At 38.4% G+C, this 25,490-nt stretch overlaps 1 protein-coding gene across 50 annotated transcripts in view, besides 2 other annotated features; it reads left to right on the forward strand.

The window, feature by feature from the left end:
- The window catches only part of TLE4 (TLE family member 4, transcriptional corepressor), a 154,918-nt gene that overhangs the window by 72,834 nt on the left and 56,594 nt on the right, over positions 1-25,490 (forward strand). For 17 of the 50 annotated variants that reach the window (NM_001282760.2, XM_011518960.2, NM_001282748.2 and 14 more), the window contains 2 exons: positions 7,795-7,996; positions 9,261-9,277. In NM_001282760.2, the coding sequence (NP_001269689.1) occupies positions 7,795-7,996; positions 9,261-9,277 (219 nt within the window). Of the gene's footprint in view, positions 1-5,021; positions 5,061-6,104; positions 6,189-7,791; positions 7,997-9,260; positions 9,278-25,490 lie in introns of all 50 variants that reach the window. The other 33 variants (NR_104239.2, XM_011518959.2, XM_011518965.2 and 30 more) reach the window with 4 other exon arrangements.
- Positions 7,436-8,195: an enhancer, noted in NCBI's record as "H3K27ac-H3K4me1 hESC enhancer chr9:82267149-82267908 (GRCh37/hg19 assembly coordinates)". NCBI's record gives its function as "activates a minimal SCP1, AML or CMV promoter by ChIP-STARR-seq in primed H9 embryonic stem cells {active_cell/tissue: H9 hESC(primed)}" and the evidence as "EXISTENCE:reporter gene assay evidence [ECO:0000049][PMID:30033119]".
- Positions 16,407-18,821: an enhancer, noted in NCBI's record as "VISTA enhancer hs1360". NCBI's record gives its function as "enhancer in: hindbrain (rhombencephalon)[4/11] | midbrain (mesencephalon)[8/11] | forebrain[5/11]" and the evidence as "EXISTENCE:transgenic organism evidence [ECO:0001131][PMID:17130149]".

The following is a 25,490-nucleotide window of genomic DNA, read 5'->3' on the forward strand; positions in this document are numbered from 1 at the left end:
TTACTTCTCTCCTAGAATGGAACAGTGTCTCCTGGTTGGATTGAGGCACACGTGCTCAGAGCGAGCAGCTCACAGCTTGGCTAGCTCCTGGTGGATGAGTAGTATGGTTGTGGGCTTGGGAGACAGCCAGCCTTGAACTTAGGAGCTGGCACTGGCCTGAGAGTCATTATCTGTCTCTAGTCCTTGGCCCCAGAGTGCCCTACATCTTCACCTATTTTCTTGGGGTACCAAAAACTCCATTCCTGAAAATGTTTTTTGAAAATGTGTTATAACCTATAAAGTCATTATTCTTAATGATGCTGAGATTGTCTCAAGTTTTGCCAGTGGGGATCCCTTCAATTTGGCTCATTGTCCTTTTGACACAATATCCGTTAGTCTAGATAGCTTTCTTGATTTCTGGCACAAGATATAGCAGGTTCACCTTGCACTTGCACTTTTTTTAGAAACCAAAATATGAGCACAAAGTGTGCTCATTGCTACTGAGATGTTGTTGTTTCTAAGGAAGGTGCGTGTTTTTTGAGAATTATTCTGCTGTTGATAGCGTAGTAGAGTTGGAGTGGGGGTGAACAAGGAAACTGCTGCCTGGCCTTCAATTGGAAATGCCCAAAATTCCTAGGGATGTCAGTGACTGCAGCTCTGTCCTTGCTGGCTCCTGCTTGGTCAATGACTTGTCAGTCCCTTGTCATCAAGCAGTTGGGGACCTTTGATTACAAAGAACTCCTCTTTTTGCTGACAGAAAGACAACATTTCAAAAGACATTTCTTGTGAATTCTATTCTCCAGTGGTCCTTTTCTGCCCTTTGTGCCAAACTTGAAACTGCAGGGAAATCTTTGTTACAGAGAATCCAGAAAAGACCTATTAACAGCATTGAGGCTGTGTCTGCCACTTCATGGCTGTGTATTTTCAGACATCATTGCTATTTTTCAGAATTAAATTAATTATCTTAATGGAGTACTTACTTGCTTAAGTTTAAAGTTCACTCCATTTTAATGTTTATTTTCTTGAGTGGCCCATCAAGGAAATAGGAAGAAGTAGTTTATTTTGTATTGTGGTTTGAGATAAGAGAGGTTTTTATTTATTATTAATTTTAAGTAAGGCACCCAAAGATAATAAAGGCCTAGGAAGGATAGTGAGAAGAATTTTGCCATGATACATATTTTCCTCAATAGGTCTTCCTCAGTGGTGGTTATGTATGTACGTTTATTTTAATACTCTAGTCTATGCCCTCTTTAATTCTTTGGCTTGATCTTTGTTTTGTTTTTCTTCTAAAGCCTATATATATATATATTTTTTTTAACCTGCTAGTTTATAATGTATCTTAAATTACATCCGTAACAAATCTGTGTTATACTGTGTACTCTTAATGTACATTTCCCTTCCTTTTGGTCTTTAAAAAGCAAGGGGTTTTATGTTTCTTAGTGGGACTGTAAGATAAAGTAGAATATCTTTGCAGGTTAATTGCTCTGTAATTAACCCAGATGGGGCAGAGGGCAGAGGACAGTTTTGACTTAACCCTGTTGGGAAACATCAGCAAGCTTTCACTTTACTGTAGAGCAATCCATTAGATTATGGTACTCTCAGCTACTTGACTAATATCCAGAGAAACCTTACTCCTTTTCCAGGGAATCCTGAGTTCCTCTGTTGATAAGATGACTTAATAGAAATATATTTTTAATGAATTCTTGACATTTGATAAATTAAGGCCATTTATTTTAGCAGAGAAAAAGGTGAAGTTCTACTTAGCCATTGGTGACTTACTACTTTTATTTAAAGAAGATGTTTTCTAATATGTTTTATTGACTAACCCTTATCAGTTATAAAATACCTGCTACTCTAGTTCTAGGCTAGTTCCTAAGGTGAAAATTTGCAAAGAAGCTTAAAAATGACCACTAAGTACAGAAAGGGGTCTCATTTATTAATGTATACATTTTAAAGCCTACTGTAATATTTTAATATCTCTGTCATATGCCTTTTGGTGACTTAATTTCATTTTATCTTATAGTTTAATATTTTTAAAACACTTGATAAAAATTGCTCCCTTCTACAGGATGCCTGAGTATAATTTTTCTGTTTTGATATTTTGTATATGTATAAAACGGTGACTGATAAACATGAATTTATGGTAGCTGCCTCTCATTTATTCTTCTTTAAGATCAAGGCATATACTATTAAGCAGTATGCCTGTAGGTTGGTTGTTACCATTCATAAAATCTTTGAAAGGACTTTATAATTTTGGTATAATAACAAATGAAAAAGCTTCTCTAAATGCAACGTTGTATGCTGGTTTGGATTCTGGGACAGAAAAATGACATTAGTGGAACAACTACAGAAATCTGCATAAAGTCTCTAGTTTGGTGAATAGCAATGAACTGATGTTAATTTCTTAGTTTTGATAAATTTTATGGTTATATAAAATGTTAACATTAGTGAAAGGTAGGTAAAGAATATATGGGAACTCTATATGTAGTAGAAGCTTAACTCATTAAAAGCTTTGAATATATAGAGACATATGACCATAGTTTGAGTTCATTAATTAGTTCAGGGAAAGTTTAGTGGTAGTTATATTTAAGCCCATTTATAATTCATAATTAGGAATTTAAAAATTAAAAGACCGACAATAAAAATAAATGCACTTTTCATATGAGGGCACCAAGTTCTGTATGTTCGATCACTAAAAATATCAGTTTTACTCATTTTAGATTATTGCTGCTTAAGATGTCCAGAATAGGCTTATAGTACAAGCAGCTTTTTTATTTCTTCTAGTTTAATTTTAAATTCAAAAGCTTGAAACATCTGGAAGAAAATAGAGTCAGAATTCATCAGTGTATAAAATCATGCTGATATTAGTTGGTAATCTGTTTGCATACCTACTAAGTGTGAGAAATATCTAGGCACTATGGGAAATATTTTTTAAATAGCTCTAATTAAGAGGTATGGCATACACAGACTTGTGCACACACACACGTAGCACATATATATGTATTTAAAAAGTCTTTTTTTGTCTTGGATTGTTAAGTATCTTAATGGTATTGAGCTTAAGTGGTGTCAGAATTGAGAGACAGTGGTGGAGATTACTTTGAGCCGGGGTGATGAGGGATGTCTCCACCGAGAAAGTAGGCAGGAGTTTAGCTTGGAAGGATGGGTAGAATTTATACATATAGAGACAGATGAGAGAGTACTCTGTGGGTGTGTGTTGATTAGTAGTAAAGCTGAGCCCTAGGAGTTTAGATGTCTCCCTAAACAGACTAGTGTTGCGGGCAGAGAGTTCCCTGGATGGTGTTGCACAGTAGGGTGGAGTTAGGCTGATGCTAGTTTATGGAAAGTCTTGAATGCTAAGAAATTGGAACTTTTGTTTTTAAATAAAAGGGATCTGTTGCTTTTGGAACCAGAGAGTAACTATCAAAGGAGTATTTTATTTTCAGTAGTATCAGAGTTTTGTATTGAGTTCTCGCTATGTTTAGGGAACTGAGCTAGGTGCCAGGGGTACTAAGAGGCCTGAGACTGGTCTCTTCTCTCCAAAGTCTCACAGTCTCTGGCAAGTCAGGGTCTTCTTATCTGTAAAAAGATGAATAACAATGCCTTTATGAGGCAGTATATGCCAGTGAATAATACAGGGAGCCCTATAAGATGATGGACACTTAGATTGCTTGGAGAAGGCTGTAGGGAACAGGTGAAACATAAGCTGAGCTGAGATAGGTGAGTACAACTTAGATAAGTAATGTGGAGGTTGTTCTAAAAGGTGCAGAAGGATATGAATTTAGGGAAAAAAACCACAGGTGGAGAAAGCAGTAAGGGTTCATTGTAACTAAAATAAGCTGATGGAGACTTAAAATAATCAGCATGTGAGGTGATGAGTCTGGTGAGTATCGTGACAAGTAGAAACAAGGGATTATTTGAGAATCTTCAGGACTTGGCAATTATCAATATAGGATAGCACAGAAGGATAACAAATTGTTGATGACCAGTAACTTGAGCCAGTAGAGGTTGGGTTTTGTGTCACACATTTTCATTTCCAGGTAATGCTGGACTTCCAAGTACAATTGTCTGACAAAAAGTTAGAATGGGGGTGTCAAAGTTTGGAAGACAATTGTGGGTCAAAGGTGGATAAAGATGGGTGAGGCCAGAGAGGAGCAAAGGAGCTAAAGGAGAAAAAATCAAGAAGGATATACAACTGCTGCATTCAGAGAGCCAAAGAAAGGCTGGCCATCGTGATGATTTCAGTGTTCTTGAAGCAGGTGGAGGATATACTGTCTATGACTGCAGATACATCAGAAAAAGAAAACTGAGAAATGCTCAGTCACGTGTGAGTGGTCCTCGGTTTTATAAGAATGGTGGGCCTGCAGTCCAGATGATCAGGTCTAAGGAGTAAGTGTGTGTGTGTAGAGGAGGGGCTTGTTGAAGTGGAGGCAGCAGATTTACCTCAGTGTTTGAAGAAGTTTGGGTGTGCGAAGACAGGGACGGACATACATACATACACACACACACACACACACACACACACACAACAAGGCAGTAGTTGAAGAGGGCAAAAGAAGGGTATTGTAGTTAAATTTAACAAACATCAAGTGCCAGTTTTGTGCAAGACACTGTGTAGGGGGCAGTGGAGGACACAAAAAGTGATTAAAATATAGTGGGATTTCTGTTCCCCTGAAAAGTACTGCCTCAAGTTCTTTTGACTTTAGATGGGCAGTTCATCTTAAACAAAATGTTGGACAAAATCAGTGATGAAACAACTGAGGATGAAGGAGAGTTGGAGAGTTGAAGGAGCAGTGAAAAAGAATGGAAGAAAACATGATGTGCAGGTGGAGAGGCTGGCCTTTGAAAGGAAAAGGACCCTTCTCTAAGATTAGCATACAAGAGGAAGAGAAGAAGCTCATTTTAGAACTGTTCTGAGATAGAATAAAACCAAACAAGGACCTCAGGAAGCCTTACTGTGAATGTCATGTATAACTATGATTTCTGCCTTTGAAAAGTTCTGGTCCAATGGAACGATGAGTCGGTGCTTATTTTTTATCCTGTAGGAGAAAAAGAATAAAAGTGACACACCTGGATCATTAAAGGTATTGGGCTTTGGCTGAGGGCTTTTTGTTGTTGTTGTTGTTGTTTTTTTGTTTTTTGTTTTTTGTTTTTTTTTTGAGACAGGGTTTCACTCTGTCACACAGGCTGGGATGCAGTAGCACAATCATGGCTCACTGCAGCCATGACCTCCCTGGCTCAGGTGATTCTCCCACCTCAGCCTCCTGAGTAGCTGGGACTACAGATGTGCGCCACCATGCCTAGCTAATTTTTGTGTTTTTAGTAGACACAGGATTTTGCCATGTTGCCCAGGCTGGTCTCAAACTCCTGGGCTCAAGTGATCTGACCGCCTCAACTTCCCAAAGTGTTGGGATTACAGGCGTGAGCCACTGCGCCAGGCTTGGGTTTTTTTTTGGTCTAATGTAATAGATACATTTTTAAAACTATCAAGATAATGTGTGAATATTTCAGGGTCTGCAGTTAGCTAGGATTTGTGAGATGTAGACTCATAGAGCTTAGATTCTAAGAAGGGAGGTAAGAAAGATGAGCATGCAGGATCTTAATAAATGCCTGCTCATTGACCTCTGATCTGAGGTAGAAAGTGGCTGTGTGTCCAAAACATACACAAGGAGTATTAGGGGAATTTAGAGGAGAAAGAATTGGAGCTATTTCTGTTTTTGAAACAAATTTGCCATATATTTACTTCAAGTCCCTATTTTGTTTTCTTCATAGACGTTATTTTCTGCACTGTTAGGAAATATAATTTTGTGTGCATACTTTTTGATCCCCACTGAATAACAGTATGTAAAGAATTATGAACATGATTTTGGCCACTTAAATGAAGAGAATCACCTTATCTCAAAACTACCCAGTTAAGAAAACCTTCAGCAGGACTTGGAGCGTGGGTGGGGCTTGGTTGGTGGAGTATCTGGATGTGGCTCCCATTTTCCATTTTCTGCTTGTAAACTTGCTTTTCAAAGTGTTCATACTTTATTCTATTGACTATATTTTAAGTGCATGTAGCCAGAACATAGGTACAAGTCAGTAAGAGAAAAGAACTAATTAATACTGTACTTGGACTTTTGTAGTCAAACATAGGAAGACATGTGGGAGTGGAAGAAAATAAACCTAATTTGGAGAGGAGAAAAAAAGGTCCACTTTTTTTCTCTGAGGTATTAATAAAAGCATTTTGAGATTTTTCTTGGTGGAATGATCGATCTCTCTCTCTCTCTCTCTCTCTCTCTCTCTCTCTCTGTCCCTGTCCCTATCTCTAGATATTTTGTGAAATTTTGCTTGGAAAGAAAATTATAGAAGGGACTATTTGGCTATCACAGGTTAGGCCTGGAATGTGATTTCTTTAAAGGCAAAAACTAAAATTCAGTCACTACAAAATTTAACCTGAGAATTACTCAATACTTGTTGTCATACAATATTGCTAAGCAGGGTTTGAGTTGAAGGGATTCCTATTGAGTAATACATTTAATGTCCTTCCTTCACCACCAACTCCTCCTCTCCCCCACTTCCCACTCAGAAGAGGCAGCAAGGCTTGCCCACCGCGGTTCCTGTAGCAGAGTTTGACGCAGCCTCAGCTGAGGTCAAGCACACCCATTCCAGCCTCTTGAGGGCTTTCTCTATGTGTTGCCAGTGTGCTGGTAAAAATGACTTTAAACTCTTGTCAGCGCAGTTACTGGTGCATGCATCACAGTCCCACTCAAATAAACCTGTCACAACACAGAGTCGGCCGCTAGAGAAGAGTACAAGGGCAGGCCTCTAGCTTTTCATTCGAGCATCACTAAACGTGCACAGAGTGCCCAATTATTTCAGCATTATTGAGCAAGCCTACAGGAGGACCCAAGCCTTGCTACATTAGATTTTCTTTAGTAATTTGCTCAAGTACCGCTGAGGACACTTAAAGGGCTTAAAACGGTGGCTGCAACCAGTTTCCTTTTCTGGGTTGTTAATTCAGGTTTTCTCTTTCAAATTAACTCTCCCTGCATGCTGTGCAGTGGTTCTGGGAGAATTGTTTAACACTAATTTTCTCAATTTTCAGCTTTTTTTGTTCAACATAACTGCTTTAACAGTTACTCACGTATATGTTTTGATTAGAAATGTATGATAGCGAGGCCTTATTTTATTTTTTGAGATAAAAAAAGCCTTTTATGAGGTTTGTTAAAGAAATATGTTTGCATATCAACTATTGAAAGTTACTTATATACTTTCACCACTTAAAAATTAAATTATTTATATTGCATGTGCAAAACCTCCAAGTATAAGAAAGGTAGCATTTATTGACTACACAGCTCATTTGCTCCTTCCCCCTTTTAAAAATATATATATGTTAATAGTAAATCTTACGTAGGTGTTGGCTTTTTTCTTTTTCTTTTTTTTTTGAGATGGAGTCTTGCTCTGTCGCCCAGGCTGGAGTGCAGTGGCACGAACTCGGCTCACTGCAAGCTCCACCTCCCGGGTTCACGCCATTCTCCTGCCTCAGCCTCCCCAGTAGCTGGGACTACAGGCACCAGCCACCACACCCGGCTAATGTTTTTGTATTTTTAGTAGAGACGGGATTTCACCGTGTTAGCCAGGGTGGTCTCAATCTCCTGACCTCGTGATCCGCCTGCCTCGGCCTCCCAAAGTGCTGGGATTACAGGCGTGAGCCACCGTGCCCAGCCGGTGTTGGCTTTTTTACTGCCGATTTATGCCTCCTTTCTGTTTCTCTTGGGGCAGGGGTTGGATATGGGGGCAAATTCAATATCTGTGTTTAATTTTTCACAGCAGCAACAACTCCAGGCCCAGCATTTATCACATGGACATGGTCTCCCCGTACCTCTGACTCCACACCCTTCAGGGCTCCAGCCCCCTGCCATTCCACCCATCGGTAGCAGTGCCGGGCTTCTGGCCCTCTCCAGTGCTCTAGGAGGTCAGTCCCATCTTCCAATTAAAGATGAGAAGAAGCACCATGACAATGATCACCAAAGAGGTGAGTAACTCTCTTGGAATGCCAATCTGAGATGACCTACTTGCTGCTGAGGGTAGGTTCTGGATGCTATTGTTTATTCTCTCTGAATTTAGTTTTACCAGTGACTAAACAAAGGATTTCCACTGGAAGGTAAATTAATTACTGCAAGTAGTCAATTGCCAAATGATATTCTAGTGGTTGGCAAGAGCTAACATACTCCCTAGAGGCAGAGGGGCCTATTTCTGGTTATTGCCTTTGATTTCTTGCTACCTTCTATGTTCCCCAGGTCTAAATCAGTAATGAAATCCCATGATGCTCTGTTTGAAGTAGCATGTTGCATTAATAGTTAACTTTGACTGAATTTATTTTGGGGAATGTCTTGCTGATAAATGCTCACTTGATATTTGACCAAATCAATTATTATTTATAAACAAATGAGCCTATATAGAGCAGTAAAAATCTCACAGGTAAGAAAACAATTTCAGTAGTCTTAGTAATTAAGAAGGTACAGACCAAATTAATGAAATCTGTTGGTTTAACTCTCTCTCTCACCCAGTCTGTTTAGAAGCATGAAATTAACTAATTTCTTCCTAGAAGACCAACATAATTGTTTATGCAATTAATTGATTTAAAGGCCAGTTGTGCTCCTTCTAGGTTGATTTCCTTCCTCCACTAAGGTAGATGATGGTGCAGAAACATTTTGATGTGACTGTTGTTTTTCTTTGGTGCTTACTGATAATTTTTATTAGTTGATGACAGAAATGCAGATGAAAAAGTCTCTCCCAGCATTCCTTTTTGGGAATTTACTTAGCACAAGGGTGGTTCATTGGCTTGAAGGGTGTGTTTCATAATTAAAAGCTCATACCCCTGTTTCAGCATCCTTACTGTGAATTATAATATTAAGTCAGTGATTTTTATCACATATGCATAAATATCCATCTCTGATATTAAAAACACTGTAATTTGTCATCCAGTTATCTTAATGCTATGGTACAGAGTTGATGCATGATTGTAAATACTTTGAAAAAGTCTATAAGGAGCACAGATAATAAGAATGTCCAGCTTTGGTTCTTCTGAAATTGTGTCAAAGGTAGATTGGTACTTTATGAATTTGGTTGTGCAGTATTAATAATTAATTTTACAGCACAGTTGACATCTGTGTAATTTATTATTTAGCAGAGATCAAGTTTGATAAATCAGTATGATTTTATGTAAACTAACTAGTACTTTTCTTTTCTTCTTCCCACCACTTTATCTGCTTGTGTTGCTGCTGTTTTGCATATAGACAGAGACTCCATCAAGGTAGGACTCAAAATTTACAGACTAAGGAATGGCTTAAAAGGGCTGTAAATGATTTGAATGAATCTAGTAAAGAATTCTTTGAGATTTAGAGAATGATTTCATTGGTTAGTAGTGGTTAACTGCATTTTTAAAATTACTTTCAGGTGTGTGGTTGATTTTTTTTTTTTTTTTTTAAAGGTCCCATTTCTCTATCAGAATCAGATTTGTTGACCCAGGTTGAATTGCAAGATCTGGCTTGCATTGCTCATTTTATTATTTGCCATGTGAAAAAAAAATAACTGCTTTTCTTCACTTAGGCTTTGGCTGTAAGATAACAATGAAATGAATTAAATAAATTGGTTTGTAAAGAGATACATATTAGTTTCATATTTGAGGAAACAGCTCCAACCTACAAAAATATTTGTTTAAGTGAATGGTGCATTTTTTTTTTTTTTTACCACTAGAAATAATTTTCTCTTTTAAATTTAAGTGAATTTTTTTCACCAACTTTTCTTTCAAATTAACATTTTGGTATCTGGTATAACAAGTTAATTCTCTTTAGGTTTTGCATCTGTCTTATCTGCCTTTTGTATCTCTTTATAGACAAGTTGTAGGGAAAGAGGAAAAGTATTTAAGGTCTAATGATTTGGGTATGCTTCTATACCTCCAGAATGGGATGTGCTAAGGATACCTGAAGTTATTTAGTAAGCAAACAAGAAAAATAGGCTGCCATGGCAGGAAATGAGTAAGGCATGAAAATTAATGTGATCACTTATGAACCAGACACAATATAAATACACCATTGTAGGCCGGGCTTGGTGGTTCATGCCTGTAATCCCAGCATATTGGGAGGCCGAGGTGGGCGGATCGTGAGGTCAAGAGATCGAGACCATCCTGGCCAACATGGCGAAACCCCGTCTCTATTAAAAATACAAACATTAGCTGGGCATAGTGGCTTGCGCCTGTAGCCCCAGCTACTCAGGAGTCTGAGGCAGGAGAATCGCTTGAATCTGGGAGGCAGAGGTTGCAGTGAGCCGAGATCATGCCACTGCACTCCACCCTGGCGACAGAGTGAGACTCTGTCTCAAAAATACATACATACATACATACATACATACATATGTACACCATTGTATTATGCGTAATTGTATTACATATGCCATTGTGTTACTTATTGGTTAGAAGGAAAGGACAGTTCTCAACCATTGGCCGAGGTACAAATGCTGTCTATTTCTTTATATCTTACAACAGTTGAATGTTTTGGAGTATAGGTAGTTATATCTTGCAGTTTTTAATGGAGCTATGTATATGAATGCTAAAATTTTCTCCCAGAACCACTGTGCTAGCACTTTGAATGCCTTTTTACTCCTTGTCGTTTTACAATTAAAGGAATTTTTTTTTCAGAGCCCTTAAGTAATGGAAAATAAAACTTGAGCCTATCTGTTTTACCCTTCAAGAATCTTTGTAATTTGAAAGGGCATCTGCACTCCCATGTAAATGTCAACATTTACAATTAGAACTGAACACATTGAATTATTTAATTATGCATTTGCAGTTGTGTATTTTGTTGTATCATATGCATATCAGTACTTAGACTAAAAAAGCATTCTTAAAGTATATTAAGTGTTTTTCACACATGTGTACTTAGGAAGTAGTAAGTAAATGCAGTGGCTAGGATTAACTGATACCAGCCTTTGAAAGCCTGTCCAGTTATTCTGAGGTCATAATATAAACATTCCCTGCCTTCTTATTATAAATATATACCTTTAGGCAGTCCAGTGAACTAAACAAAAGCCTCCACTCCCAGAAGACTGTGAAAATATTTATACTTCAGTGTACACTTTTGTGTCAATTACATTTTCTTATTCCCTCATGCAAGAGTAAGGGTGTGTTTTGAAATCATCAATAATCATTCAGGGTGAGCCTGGAAATGAGTATCTGTATAGCTAGAAGCCAGGGAAAAACAAGAAAGGCTGATGATTTTGCCTTGATTTATTATGGGATGGCATCTATAAATAGATGTTTTGGTTGGGTACCATTCTCAAATTTGAAGTTGTATTACGTCAGGTCTGGGACTGTCCTATAGTTCTACAAGGTGAGATAGTTTGCTTATTTTTCTGAATGTGTTCTGTGATGCTCAGAGAAGCAGTTGTAGTTGCTTGTTCCATCGATCGTCCTCCCATAAGTGGTTCCTGGTTAAGAGGGGCTTTTTATGATTGTCTGCTGTGTGACTCTAGATGGTTTTTATCAGCCAGAGCGTGCCAGTTGCCTGCAGCTGGAGTCGAGCTTGTATGAAATAATTTATTTATGCAAGATAATGCTCCTTAACATTTAACAGGTAATGAACGTGACATAAATTTCCTTCTTGCTTTTAATTTTTCCCTTTCCTCTTCTAATGTGCAAACAGGCAGCTCTGGTACTCTAAATAATAAGTAATTTTTGGCCATCTGTCAAAAGGAAATTTCAATACAAATTTAAATTAATGGTGCCTGAAATTTTTTATAGCTCCTCTAAAAGCCTCTAATGTGCAGAAAATTCGGAATCTGCTGGTAGTAATTAGTGTTGCATGTAATGAGGATGTGGGCAATCTTATACAGCCCCAGTGGAACATTTTGATATGGTAGCAAAATTTTGATTTATACAAGGTTGTAGATGGGTTTGATTGTGAGAGATACTTTAAAATGTTTTCTTGACGTTACAGATTGTTAAACAGGGCAGATTTCAGAATAGCTTATAAACTATAAATTTAAACTTACTGTAAAGATTTAAGTAATTTAGGTACTTTACCTTTAGATGCCAAGTAAAATTCACTTGTTAACATGTTGGGCCTTTTTTTTCCTTTGTCTTTCTCTTCTGGGAAGTTCTGTGGCCACCAAATTGCACGCTGTTGGCTTTATTGATCTCTTTTTCTATAGCTCCTGTAGCCAAGTTCATTCCTAAGCCTGTTATTTGCAGACCTGTATCTGAAGTTTTTCAACAAAGGTGGAGAATGTAAATATGGATCTAAAGGAGAAAACACTGTAGGAGCCCAAGAATCAGTTTCCTTGATGATGAGAAACTAGACCAGTGTGTGTTGTAGGGCTGTTGAAGTCAGGAGCCATGGCACCTGCAGCCTTCCTTGCTTGTCACTTGGCTGTCCAGTGACTCCATGTGCCCAACAGTAAGTCCCACATTTGAGGCCTGAAAATGACAAGAAACACAGACTGTGATCCACTCTCACCCTTAATGGTAGGGCAGAAAGCCCAAATTTATCTCTCCAAAAAGAATCCAACGTAGGCTAAGGGGGAGTGTTCTCACCATCTTATGTAGTATCAAGAACCATTTCTCTCATCCCTAGAAAAGTCGTAAGTGACACCAAGGAAATGTTTTCTGAGGTGATGGAATCTTCCATTGCCCACCCCCTCTCATTGAGGGCTGAGGGGTAAAAGTGATGGGCTCTAAAATGGTGTCAGAGGGGACATTCCCTTGTGCTGCCAGGAGCTTCCCACTTGATGGAGGTTCCAGTTCATTAAGAGGAGTCAGCTGCCCAGACTGAACCAGTGCTATTAGGTTCCTCATAGCACTCTCCAGTTCTTTTCTGAGTGACTGAAATGAGGGTAATGATTCAGAGCTGTGAAGGCCAAAATTGCCTGAAACTTGGTAAGAATCTGAGGTTCAGAAATCGTCTTATTTCCCACTCCGTCCCAAATGTGTGCATAATTCCAATATCAGGTAGCAAAAAATAGGCACCAAAATCAAGACCAGCTTAAATATAAGTCGCAAAATTCACTATCACCAAATGCTCATTAGCTCCGTGGCCTCAACCAAGTTGCTATTATTGTGCATTCTTTATTACTTTGTAAGTCCTTTTCATGTATCTGCCTGGTTCTCCTGTGTTTTATCCTGAGTGCAATAGCCTTCTCAAGTCACATCTATGAGGGATTTGCCTTTTTTATCTGTAAAATATAGCACGAGTACTTTTTCTCCTCTGTGCCTATGCTTACCCAGTACAAACATTTTTTCCATCTGAGTGGTGGTGTTTTTATTTTTGTTATTTCATTGGAATGTCTTCAAGCCCAGAGTGCTGGATGCATCATCAAAGAGTATGATCATTTTTAGTGACTTGTGCAGTGCCAAATTGATCTCCTAAAACCCTGTACTAATTTAAAATGCCAAATGCAATGTTTGAATATGTTTCCACACAATCCGCCAATATGGAACTTTATAGTTTTTGTAATTTTTGTTGGCATAATGAGTATGGATGGTGCACTTTATTTTTTTAATTTACGTATAATTATTTTTTAGCTAAATGCTTTTCTCTGGGTATATACACTGTTTTTTTCCTGTGCAAATTCCTTGATTTTGTTTAAAGGTTTTTATAATGATTCATTCATTATTTGTGTTTAAGGCAATGCATTTTTATTCTGCCGCATCTGTATTTTGGGGCATAGATGACTAAAACATCATACATTGCTTTTTTCTATCCCCCATTTATTATGTTGACAATAAAGGTTTATCAGCGGAAAATTAGAATAAGGTTGTTTTTATGTTCAAATTGAAGGGCATGATTCAGGCCAAGAAAGCACTTTTGCCTCATTAATTGGGTGTTAACCGGTGAATGTGGGTTTTTAGTCTGAATTAACAGAATGATTACTTCATACACCCCTTTAAGTAGGAGTTTTACCGTTTGGGAGATAACTTGCTGGGATAAATTTGTATTACTCCAGACTTTAGAAGTACATATTGTAAAAAGGCAAAGGCATAAAATAATAGAAAGGTAGATTAAAAAGGGGAAATCATTGAAATCCACAGAACACTAAAGAGTGTTTAAGCAAACAAAACAGTCATGGACTTTTGGTATCTTCTGTTTTCCCCTCAGTAATCAGCAATCTGAGAAGAGAAGTTGTCTAATTAAGGGCTGTAACACTTCAGCATATCCACTGTAACCTAGGGAAAAATAAGGTGGGTCCACAGTGTCCACTCAGTCCTACTGATCTCCTCTGAGCAGCCCCCACTGCATGTATAGCTCATAGGTTAGATTTTGCTGGTGAAGGTAGGTGTTATGCTTACCCTTATTTCATACATGAGGAAAGGTTTAGAAGTGTGAAGACCTGTCAAAGGTCACACAGCCAGCGCCGCCCTCAAAGGAAAGCTCTTTGGGTAACCCAGTTTCATTCTCAGTTATTAAAAATCTGAAACATACTACAAAGTACAAAGAACGCCTCATACACCCAGCAACTAGGTACAAGAGCTATCAATATGTAGCCATATTTCTATCTATACTTTTTCTTTGCCGAAGTATTTGTATGCTCATTTTGCTCCTGTGTACTTCAATATGCAAAATGAACACATTATCTAAATAGTGGGCCCTTTTTTTTTTAGATAACCATAATGCCTTTAATCACTTAGTAAAATAATTCTTTGATATCTTCTAATACCCAGCTTATAATCAAACTTCTTTGATTATTTCAAATAATTGGTTTACTTGAAATGAGATTCGAATAGGATTCATTTTATTTTGTTGTGATCTCTGTTAGGTCTCTATAAATCTTTCTTATTAAAAAAATTTTTGTTTTTTGCCACTCCCTAACTCATAATTTCCTTCTCAAACTAATCTTCGATTTGTCCTCTTATACAATTCCACAAAGCAGATTAAGACTCTTCCCCTCAAGAAGCTAAAAATTTAGGGGAAGAGAACTTTACTTAGTTAGGGCATGGGGAATCAGGGATACCACCTAATAAGGAAATAGAAGTACTTAATATATTTTTAAAATCATATTTTAAAATATGTTTTTAAAAGCCTATCTTGAGCAATACTTATTTGGACAGTGGATTTGTATTTCAAATACATCATAGCCTGTGTTTCAAGGTTAAAGAATAGAAATAGAACTCTACCTTTTTACGGTCAGCATACATTTCTAGATATCTTACTCCCTTGATTATTGGTAAAATCCATTTCATTGTTCATCACCAATGTATACAGACAAACCTAGATTTCATTCTGTCCCATTCTCCCATCATAAGGAAAAGGCTTTTCCTGGTGTAATTCACCATGAAGTATTCTTGACACCACAAGGAAGCACACTGAAACATTTAGAATATGAGCCATTCTGTAGGAAGGCTATGCCAGGTTCTGCAACAATCCTCTCTACCACTGGGTAAGCTGAATATCAATAGACAAGTCACTTAACCTCCATGGATCTCAAGGCTGTAACTCAAGGCATTCTTCCAAGTATTTGGAATGTAGCTATTTTCTTATGTGTTATTTAGTCCTGTCCTAGAAACAAATTTTGAAATAAAAATCTTATACCATAGGTTATGTTTCAGCAATAAAGTTGGCCATACCATTAGCCAAGTAAACACAGTGGTTAGAAGTGAGGAAATCATTTGAGGGGTTCGGTGGTAGGGTGATAAAGTATGCCTTTCAAGCATTTAACGTTATAACTCTTTCAATTTCCCAAAATAACAAAATAAGATGGTAATTTGAAATTAAGTGTTTTAGCATTGCTATTGCTTTTTAATTATTTGTTTACAAGACTTTTAGGTATTTATTTCTACCATGTATTTTACTATTTACAGTTATCAAGGAACAGTTAAGAAGTTTTGTTCTATGAATCTATGATGCAGTAATTTGTTCAGTATTAATTGATACCTGCCTCTAGGCATGTAAACTGTGTGAAACGTAACAGGTGTCCTAATTCTAGAAAAATGTGTGGTAATTGTTTGTTTGTCAAACAGATGAATAAATATCTTTAGGGCATAGCTGGTCCTCAGGTGGTGAGCATAAATGGATTAATGATGTGAGTGACTCGGGGAGACACGCTTGTTTTGCAGCACCCTCCTCCGCCGATCGCTGAAGCAGAACAAATACTAATTAACAGGGGCGGCCTGGTTGGCAGGTTGGCTTTCTCCAGCTGATTTGGCAAAATGGTTTATTCCTTTCCCTCCATAAACCATCCCTCTTAGTTATTAGACATTTTCATACTGATGTTTAGTTAATTTCTAATTTTCTTAATTAGGATGCATTTCATCTCTTGCAAAAATATTATAACGTTTATAGTTAACATTTTTAAAAATTTAGAGGGGCCTAAGATTTAAGTTTTAATAGTTGACGCTTGAATTTCAAAAACATTTGTTTCTCAAAATGTAGATAATTCTTCCAATGGAATTATTCCAAAGAATCGTTCACCATCTTTTTTTTGTATTCTTACAGTAACACTAACCCCACTCTGGAAAAATTATAAAATCACTCATGGGGTAGTTTAATACTCTTGTTCTTCTTTCTTGAATTATTTCTGCAACACTTTCCTCTGTCCAACTTATGTATTTTGTTCTGTGGTGATTTGAAGTAGCTCAGCTATCTTCTGGGTTAAAAGACTTTCTACGCGTAGGACCCACCACTTTAATAAGGGCTGTAATTTTGGACTTAGAGAGTCATATCTGATTACTGCCATGGCAACTGCCTTGTGAAAGGGTTGAAGAGAATTCAGGCTTCATGAGAGAGTAATAGAAAGGAAGTTTGCTGAGGAGCTGAGTAGTACTTTCTGAAAGAGTTTTTGATGCTTTTAAATAAGGTTGCTGTTAAATGAAGATAATACAGTTATTTCAAAACTCAGTAATGCTGCTTAGACTTGGCAAATCAAAACTTGAAATGTTAGCATTGAATACTTAGTTGTTTTTCTTTGAATCTAAATATTGAATAAAATAAGTCACATTGCTTTAACTTTATCAGATTATTCATTATTTAGAACCAATCCAATTATTTTTGTATGTAATAAATTTTACTGCTTAAAAACAGTGTAAGCTGAGAGTTCTAGTATTGTAATGTAACATAAGAAATTCCCGCTCATTTGTGATAGTTGGAATTGGTGGTTAAGTACCCTCCTCCTCCCAACCCCTGGGTTCAGTTTTGCCTCTAGTTTTCCTTCACTAGAAACTGGAGAACAACACACACATACATGTAATCCGCTCACGTGCGGTCCACCTTTCTTCCTTCACACTGTTTAATATTCCATCCCCTCTGCATCCACTAAATGTTCGTGAAAAGCTTACACTTTCCCTCCCCTTTTACAGAAATGCAGGCAGTGAGGTGGAAGTTAAAATGTCTTAAGTATTCTTGTTGTAAGTGAACTTTCTAAGATATGGTGATAAGGGTGAGCATGAGGAATTCTTTTTCATGGAAATGGACTCATTATTTAATTGTATCATATCCTGAAGGATTCTTGAATCTTCTTTTTTAAATTGCTACTTTTCAAGTTGCTGACTTCAAATTTGAGAATAGAAGAGGGCTGGGAGAGGGGAGGTAAATAAGTTAGTGATGCCACCCAGTGAGAGAAGCCAGTAGGCTTATATAATAAGATCTCCTTGTTATTTATTGCTCCTTATGGTCATTTTAATTATTCTAGAGAATTTTGAGAATTCTATTCACTTATCTTTTTTTAAACTTCTGTTTTTGTGAGCGACATTTGGCCTTTTGAACAACAAAATAAAATTGGAAATGCTAATGTTTTGAGCCAACTAAAGGAGGAAAATAAAAATGTCACCATGGTAACAAAGCTGCTTTCTAGATGGTTTCCTAAGATATGCCTGAACTAGAAGCAGATGTCTGATTTGAGAATCTTGCCTCCTTCGATGTAAACAAATAACTTCTGGGCAGGTGTTGGAAATAATATGGAAATCCTATTAAGGGGCCCCGGGTTCCTGTCAGTCAGGAAACCCGTGCCACAAAAGGGCTGGTTGTCGCATAAAGGAGCAGAGTAAATTCTCATTAGGCTTGAGCTTTTCCCAGGAAATGATTGTCTCCGTGTGTTCTTTCTCCTGTGAATCTGAATGTAAGCTGTTGCTTCTATTGATCTATTCACTGGCTTTATTTTTCTCCTCTTCATTCCAGATCCTCCCTCGCCCCCACAAGCCTGTGTTCTCCCCCTCACCCACCCCTTCCCTTTAGATTAACACTTGATCTGTGCTACTGCTCTGAGAGTCGTGACATTTGTGATTTTAACCTCCCAACCTGGGTGGGGGTGGGGGTGGGGGTGGGGGTGGAGAAGGAGGGGAAAGTTAGTCTTGTTCCCTCAGCCTTTTTCACAAAGACTCTGGCTGATTGGGACTCGCACAGCTAGCGGCAACGGCAATCATGAAGACCATTCTGTGTACATTTACTTGAAGTTATATTTTTATGAATTAAGCAGAAACTAAAAGCTTGAAGAGACAGCTTTTTAGGAACTTTTAAAAACATAGATAGTTGTCTGGTAAGCCTCTGAGGCTGCCCTGTCCAATATGGTGTAGCCACTAGTCACATGAAGCTATTTAAAGTTAAAATGAAATAGAATTTTCAAACCCATTTTCCCAGTTATATTAGCCACATATCGAGTCCTTAGTAGCCACACGTGGCTGTAGAAACTGCCAAAACGGCAGAGATACAGAACCTTCCCACTGCTGCAGAGAGTTCTATTGGATGATGCTGCGTCTCTGACAGACTCTGATGAGGCTTGCTGGTTCTGACATTCCTTCTGGCTAAAACTGACTCCTGATACTCAAAAGCAAGGTTCCCCTGGTTTCATAGAAAACAAGGCATGTGTGTATTCGGGTTTGGGTGGTTGATGTGGTTAGCTGCACTAATATAGTAGTGATCTTTAAATGGTTGTAGATTTTTTTTTTTTGGTCACGGAACTGGTTGAGCAATATAAACATGGGTCTTCCCAAAATGGACCCCTAAGAGATGCAATTTAATGTTTCTAGATAGAAAGTTGTGGCAGTTTTGGGGGGAAGGGAGGAGTGCTTGAAAGCTATGCATAAGGGTGCTCTTTATAATACTCAGAAGGTTAAATGTGGATAAACACAAAACAAGGCTTCAGAAAAGCCACACTATTATTATGCAGCGTTTCTCGGACTATAGTCCCCGAGACGCACTTCATAAAGCCAATAAAGCGCGCACTGGTGGTCTCCCGTTGCCCTAGCAACGGGCCACGGGGCACAGTGTATGTGAAATGCATGAACATCTGTGAATTAATCTTTTTTAGTTTGTTCTTTTCTTGGCACTGATTGGACCACTCGGGCTTGTGCCTGTGACACTGCGTGCAGAGGGGTAATCTGGAGCAGTCCCCAGGGCCTTGCCCTAAAGTGGATAGTGGAATGGAAAGTGAAGGGAGATTTATCCCGGCAGTGCATTCAGCAGTGCAGGGATTTAGCCTGACAGCACTCTCAGCGGGATGTTATTAGCTTACTTTCTGGTGCATGGGGAAATGAATAAAAATTTTTCTAGTAAATCTGGGCATTATTGGGTTTATTGGGTTGCCCTGAAAAAATAATCTGCAGAGAAAATTGAAATAATCACTTGTGTTTGTACCACAGTTATCAGGACTTGAAAGCTGAGTTATTCCACATCCTTGGCCCAGCCCCCGCCTCAGGGATTATAACCAAACCATATTGGACTGTCACTGCTCTGAATGAGACTCCTGAATTGGATGCGTAGGCTGGAATCTGATTTGATGATAAAATCTGTTAGTAACCTAGTCTGACCTTATTTAGGGAAATTTTAAACTAAGCTGGTGACATTTTTGCCTTTGGGAGAATAGAGCAAATAATGACTAAATACGTAAGCGTCCAGGAACAGTACTTTTGTTAGTTAGTCCCCCACCCCTGACCTCTTCTGTTCTTTCCCTCCTCCTGCCTCCCGCTGCCACTTCTTCCCTCCCTCTTTTCAAATTGCCATCCTCCTTCTAGACTTCAGCATGACTGTACAGACTGTGTTCAGTTCCTCCTGTCAATACCAGATGTTCACTTGTAAACTGTTTTGCTCACCCTTGTCATTTTCAATTCCCTTCTCTTTTCTTCCTTTTTTCTCTTTGTGCCTCCCTTTTTTTTTCTCTCTCCATTCTTCCTTATGGGTCAACCCTCTTTCCTGGGGAGAAATGAAAGAAGAATATTACATATGAAATGTTTCACGATGGATGTAGTCTATTTGGTTAATTGTTAGGGTGAAAATTTCCTTTATAACAAATGTATTAAAACAGAAGTTCGATTGCATTAGTACTGAAAGGTATTTAGGTGGGAAGAACTCCTTGTCAATTCTGTATATGTTTTCCTTTGATTATTAAAAAGGCACAGCTATACCTCTGTATGTAGCTGAGAGATTTTTCTGATTTGTTTTTTGTTAGACAACTGACTAAAAATTATATTAATGGTTCCTGACTTTGAAACCTGTTGGTATTGACAGATGAACTTGCAGTCCAAATAAAATATTTAAATCAGTAGGTATTGATTCAGCAGCTGGAGGGCAAACAGGCCTGTACTGCATTGGGGGTGCACAGTAAAGATTAGATACAATCCCTTCCTTCAAATCATGTTCCTGTTAAAATATGGAATTGCGATATGCTGCCTTCTGAGTAGAATAAAATATATTAATGGATCGTTCCTCTTCATTTCTCAGAGCTTCTGGTGAGTCCTGAATTCTTTAAAATGTGCATATAAAACCAGTTTATGATGATGGGAGGACTAGCTCTGAAGGCAGTCTTCCCAGGAAGCTGCCCGGGCTGATGTGCAAATGCATGCAAACATGAACCTTTAGCAAACACTGACAGTAATGCCAGTGGCAACGTTCTGTCGACTCCCAATCGGGATATGGGCCTTTTACTCGAATTCAGAAAGTGTTTTGTAGGAATCGGCAAAACAATTGAACTACAGAGCTAAAATATTTATCATCTGATTTTTTGGCACTTGAATACCCTCACTTGCTTTTCAGGTGGTTTCTCTGTTTTCAAAATTAGTAAATAATTTTATTTGTTTTTTTGCTGCTCCCATTTAGCTCTGATGATATTTTCTTCTTTCAAGAGTATTTTTAAAAATTGCCAGCTTTCTAGTTGTTACTTGAAGCCAGCTTCAGAAGTAGAACAGTTAACACGGATTATTAGAGACCTTTAGAAGGAAGTAAAATTCTCAAATTTTATTTCTATGTCTTGGACTGTTATTTGGTTTTTGAAAGCACAATTTTTTATGCCAAGAACTAAAAATCTGTAGACACTGGTGGTAAAAAGTAGAAATTCCACAATTACAAGTGGCAGTGAGTAAACTGGCTAGAGTGAGAAGCAGGAATGAGGTGGAATGAGTATGAATCTCTGCTGTTTCCTTCATCTGTGTGTGTGTGTGTGTGTGTGTGTGTGTGTGTGGGTGGGGTTTTTTTTTTTTGTTTTTTTTTTTTTTTTTTTTTTGAGAAGGAGTCTCCCTATGTCACCCAAGCTGCTGCTGGAGTGCAGTGTCATGATCTCGGCTCACTGCAATCTCTGTCTCCTGGGTTCAAACGATTCTCCTGCCTCAGCCTCCCAAGTAACTGGGATTATAGGCACGTGCCACCACACACCTGGATAATTTTTTGTTTTTGGTATTTTTTAGTAAAGATGTGGTTTCACCATGTTGGCCAGGCTGGTTTCGAACTTCTGACCTCAGGCGATCCACCCACCTCAGCCTCCCAAAGTGTTGGGATTACAGGCGTGAGCCATCACGCCCCACCCCTTCATCTATTTTTAACAGTTTCTTAAAATCTCTGTCATGTTCCTATGTACTAGGCTGGTAAATAGCCATAATTCTTGAATTTTATTTTTAACTTTTCTACTCTTACTGTGTTTTAAAAGCAGTAATAGAAATAAAATCAGCACTTTAATTAGTGTTGTAGATATGTGTATCTATAAAAGTGAAAATGTTTAGGGGAAAAAAATGCTGCTTGTTTTCTTAGACACACAACATTACATGGAAACATTTGGTGATTGCAGTGGCTTCAGCATTTTAAGACTGGGCTACCAAAAACTGTACCTGATACTTAACCTGTTGGGCCTACCCAGGGACAGTGAAAGAGTCCAAATGGAGGCCCTCATACCATACACTGAAGTATTTAAAAGTTATAAATCCAATAAATAAATACACCTTAGTGATAACCTGAAAGACCAGGTTGGAATTTAAAATTCTCAGGCACTTTGGAGTTCATTGCTTTAACCACGTGGGTCCTCACGTATTTTCTTGTACACACCCTAGTTCTTACTTCAAAGCTTCATCGAACCCCTACAGCTGCGCCCAGATCTAGACACACTCAAACCAGCAGCTTGATCTAACCCTGGGAGGCTTCAGGAAGAGGACTGAGACTGAGTAAACCCTGGAAGTGGGCCTGGGGTGTTAGGGCAGGGAATTTCAGGGTCCTGGGTACCCAGCTCATGGTGTAGAGGCCACGGACAAAGGCTGTGTGTGGGCATGCCCCCTTGGTCTTACAGGGTGTTGCTCAGCCAACTGAGGGCCAGGGCCCACGTCAGGGGCCCTTCTCCTTCTCGCCAGGCTGCTTGGTTTGTACATGATTTCATAAGCTATACACTTAAGAGGAAAGAAAGGGAACTTAGAACTGTTTTATCTTAAAATAATTCTTTGTTAAATAAATGTCAATAGTTTTAATCAAAATTCATCCAGGGAATTCTAAAATATAACATACATATACACATATATATATGTATATAAAACATTAAAGATAATCTCTAGGAACAGCTGCTTTGACACTGTGTTTTATAGTCTGTTTACGGATGTGTATGTTTTTAAAATACTCCATTAAAAATCCGAAATGCGTATCCTGCCTATTGGAAGTGCTTGTGAAAGGAAGGTGGGGAGTTGGGGTACCATTTAAAGCTGAGCAAGGTAAAGATAGTGTGGAGCTTCGAAGTCAGGATTTTCTACACGACCCCACCCTCAATCTGGTCCACATAGTAAAGATTGGATGCTAGTGAAAATGCCAGGCAAGGGTTAGGCCTAAAAGGATTAGTCATGAAGATTCGAGATTCTTAAACTAAAGATTATCACTGGGAACTAACTCGGGTCATGATTTCTCTTTTCATCTGCCTTTGTTCCTTTTATGCACTTCCACAGTTGGACAGCTGGAAGTGCCACAGAAATATTTGAAGAGCCCTATTTAGTAGTTTACGTGAAAAGTCGTTGAATAATTCACATAACAAATGATTAGACAAGCACTTGTCCATCTGACTGAATTATTCTACATGTTTGCCCAAGCAACAAAGGAGAACAGCGTTTCCTCCTACAGAGGGTATACAGTGGTGGTATTGACCCATCTAGTTACTGGGTGGGTTTCAGTCTTTTGTTGACATTGTTGTTAATGAAAGCAGCCCAGACGAGCTGTGAGCAGCTGGGCTGGATAATTGTGAAGGATTCATGCTTGTTGCTGTTACCCCCAGTGTTTGCAGTGGGTTGTTTGCTTTGACTTTTGTTGAACTGTTGACAAAAGCATTAGATACAAATGGGAACAAATAAAGTGGTGAGATGCCAGGAGGGCTTGGCAGGAGTAGTGGTTTTCTTTCTGACTGAAGTGGAGGATGTCGGAACGTATCTAGATGGGAAGTGGAAGGTGTATTCGGTGTGTGTGTTTAGCAGTTTACCCTTCCGATACCAAACTGGAAAATTTTGTTGCTTATGTACCTTGGCTCACAGAGGTGAGAGAATCAAGGAGGTCACCGTATCTTGTAACCCTCAAAAAGCCACGCTCTTTACCATGCCAGTCAGGTGGCTTGCAGGCCAAGAATGTTACAACAGAAATAGTTTCCAGATTCCCCCTCCTCAACTTAAAACAAAATTTTAATAATAGAAGTATTTTGGACTGGGGAGATGACAGGCATGACGTTGAGGTGGGGAGGATTAAGAAGAACAGTATATGCTAAAATAGTATAGCTAGCAAATGGAAGTCATCTACTGGAACGCTTTTAATTTGCTTTAAACAAAATACTCTTTTGTATATTCAAATGGAGAGTAGCTCAGCTGTTGTGAAGCCAGAAAATTAATGGTATTTTTAGTGAAATAGCAAAAGCATGTCAACAATGTAGCTGCAGATGATAATGCTGGCATTTTATTCATGAGGAATTATCAATGCAGGTTACTGGACAACATAGTGTGACTGAAAATGATTGAGTGTCGGAGAAGCCCGCCATCCTTCTGCTCGATTATTTCATTTTGCATTTAGGCTTCCCCAGGCTTCATTTGTGCATGTATTTTCCCTATCACAAACCAAAATATAAAGTCTCCCTGGCTTAGGATTGTATGCATATTTTTTCTTCCTTTAAAATGTCTCCAAATGAAAGTTCCCCTTGAGTATTGACTCAGAAGCTGAGGAGTTCATTTTCAGTGCACACATGGTCAGTGGAGGTGGTTAGGCTTCAGAGATAGGTCCCTCTGAACAGTTTATCTAAATAGGTCTATGGCAGTTGTTTAAAAGCCAGCAAAACTCACCACCGTTTGATAGATGGAAATTGTCACAGAATATGCCTTCTCTGACAAGTAGAAGATTTGGAATAAGTAGTGAGGCCAGAAAAATGTTTAAAAAACATGGGCAAGAATAGGCAGAAACTGTATTTAGGCAATTAAAATGTCTTTTGGAAGAGTGCGTTTCAGTGATAGTTGAAGAGTTACTAAAAATATATTTGAATAGTCAGGAAAATTAAGCTATGTCTTTTTTTTTGGCCTGCAGTTTTGGTCTGAGGCGCTCTGGGCACCATCACTCACATTGTTTTGTTGGTATTATTTCACCTAGTGTCTGAGCAAGGAAGAGGCTAAGGCTTCCTTTCAACATTCTGTTCTCCAACCTCATTTATTGGATTCCCCTCTGCTACTGGTGACAAAAAGAATGGATTATACCTTTGTGTAATTGTGCTTGTTCCAGTACTTCATGTGACCAAATCTAGGAAAGAATAGGAATTTACTGAGTTTGTTAAAAGTGGGAATGGCCCAATTGTTTTAGTCTTTGCAGCATCTTAATCCTAGAGAGCAGTGACCAGTGAGAAGAGGTCAGGATTTTCTCAGAAATGGGGGCATGCGTTACATGGCTGTGCTCCACTCAAAAAAGTTACATGAATGCTCCCCACGTTTCAGCTCTCAGAAGATATTTTGCTTGTTTCAGTACTAGATGGTCAAATGGTAAAGGCCTAGATCTGAAGTTCATGAGGAAGAAACCCCTGAAATGACAGACACTGAATGGGGATAAATGCATCTATGTGATTAAGTAGTTGGTAGTTCTTCCAGGGTTTATTACTCAAGAGAGGAGGTAGGGAAATCGTGCAAGTAGAAAACTTGAAAAGACTCACCTTAGAGGGGATAGCTAAAGAGTAAAATGAGTAACAGTTAAATAAGAAAAAAAAAAGAAAGAAAAAAAAACTTGAGAAGACAATAAGGCAAGAAGTTTATCACCATTAACAAGCCAGAAGAAAGAAAGAGACTACACCGA

This window comes from Homo sapiens, chromosome 9 (genome assembly GCF_000001405.40).
Source record: "Homo sapiens chromosome 9, GRCh38.p14 Primary Assembly".
NCBI lineage: Eukaryota > Metazoa > Chordata > Mammalia > Primates > Hominidae > Homo > Homo sapiens.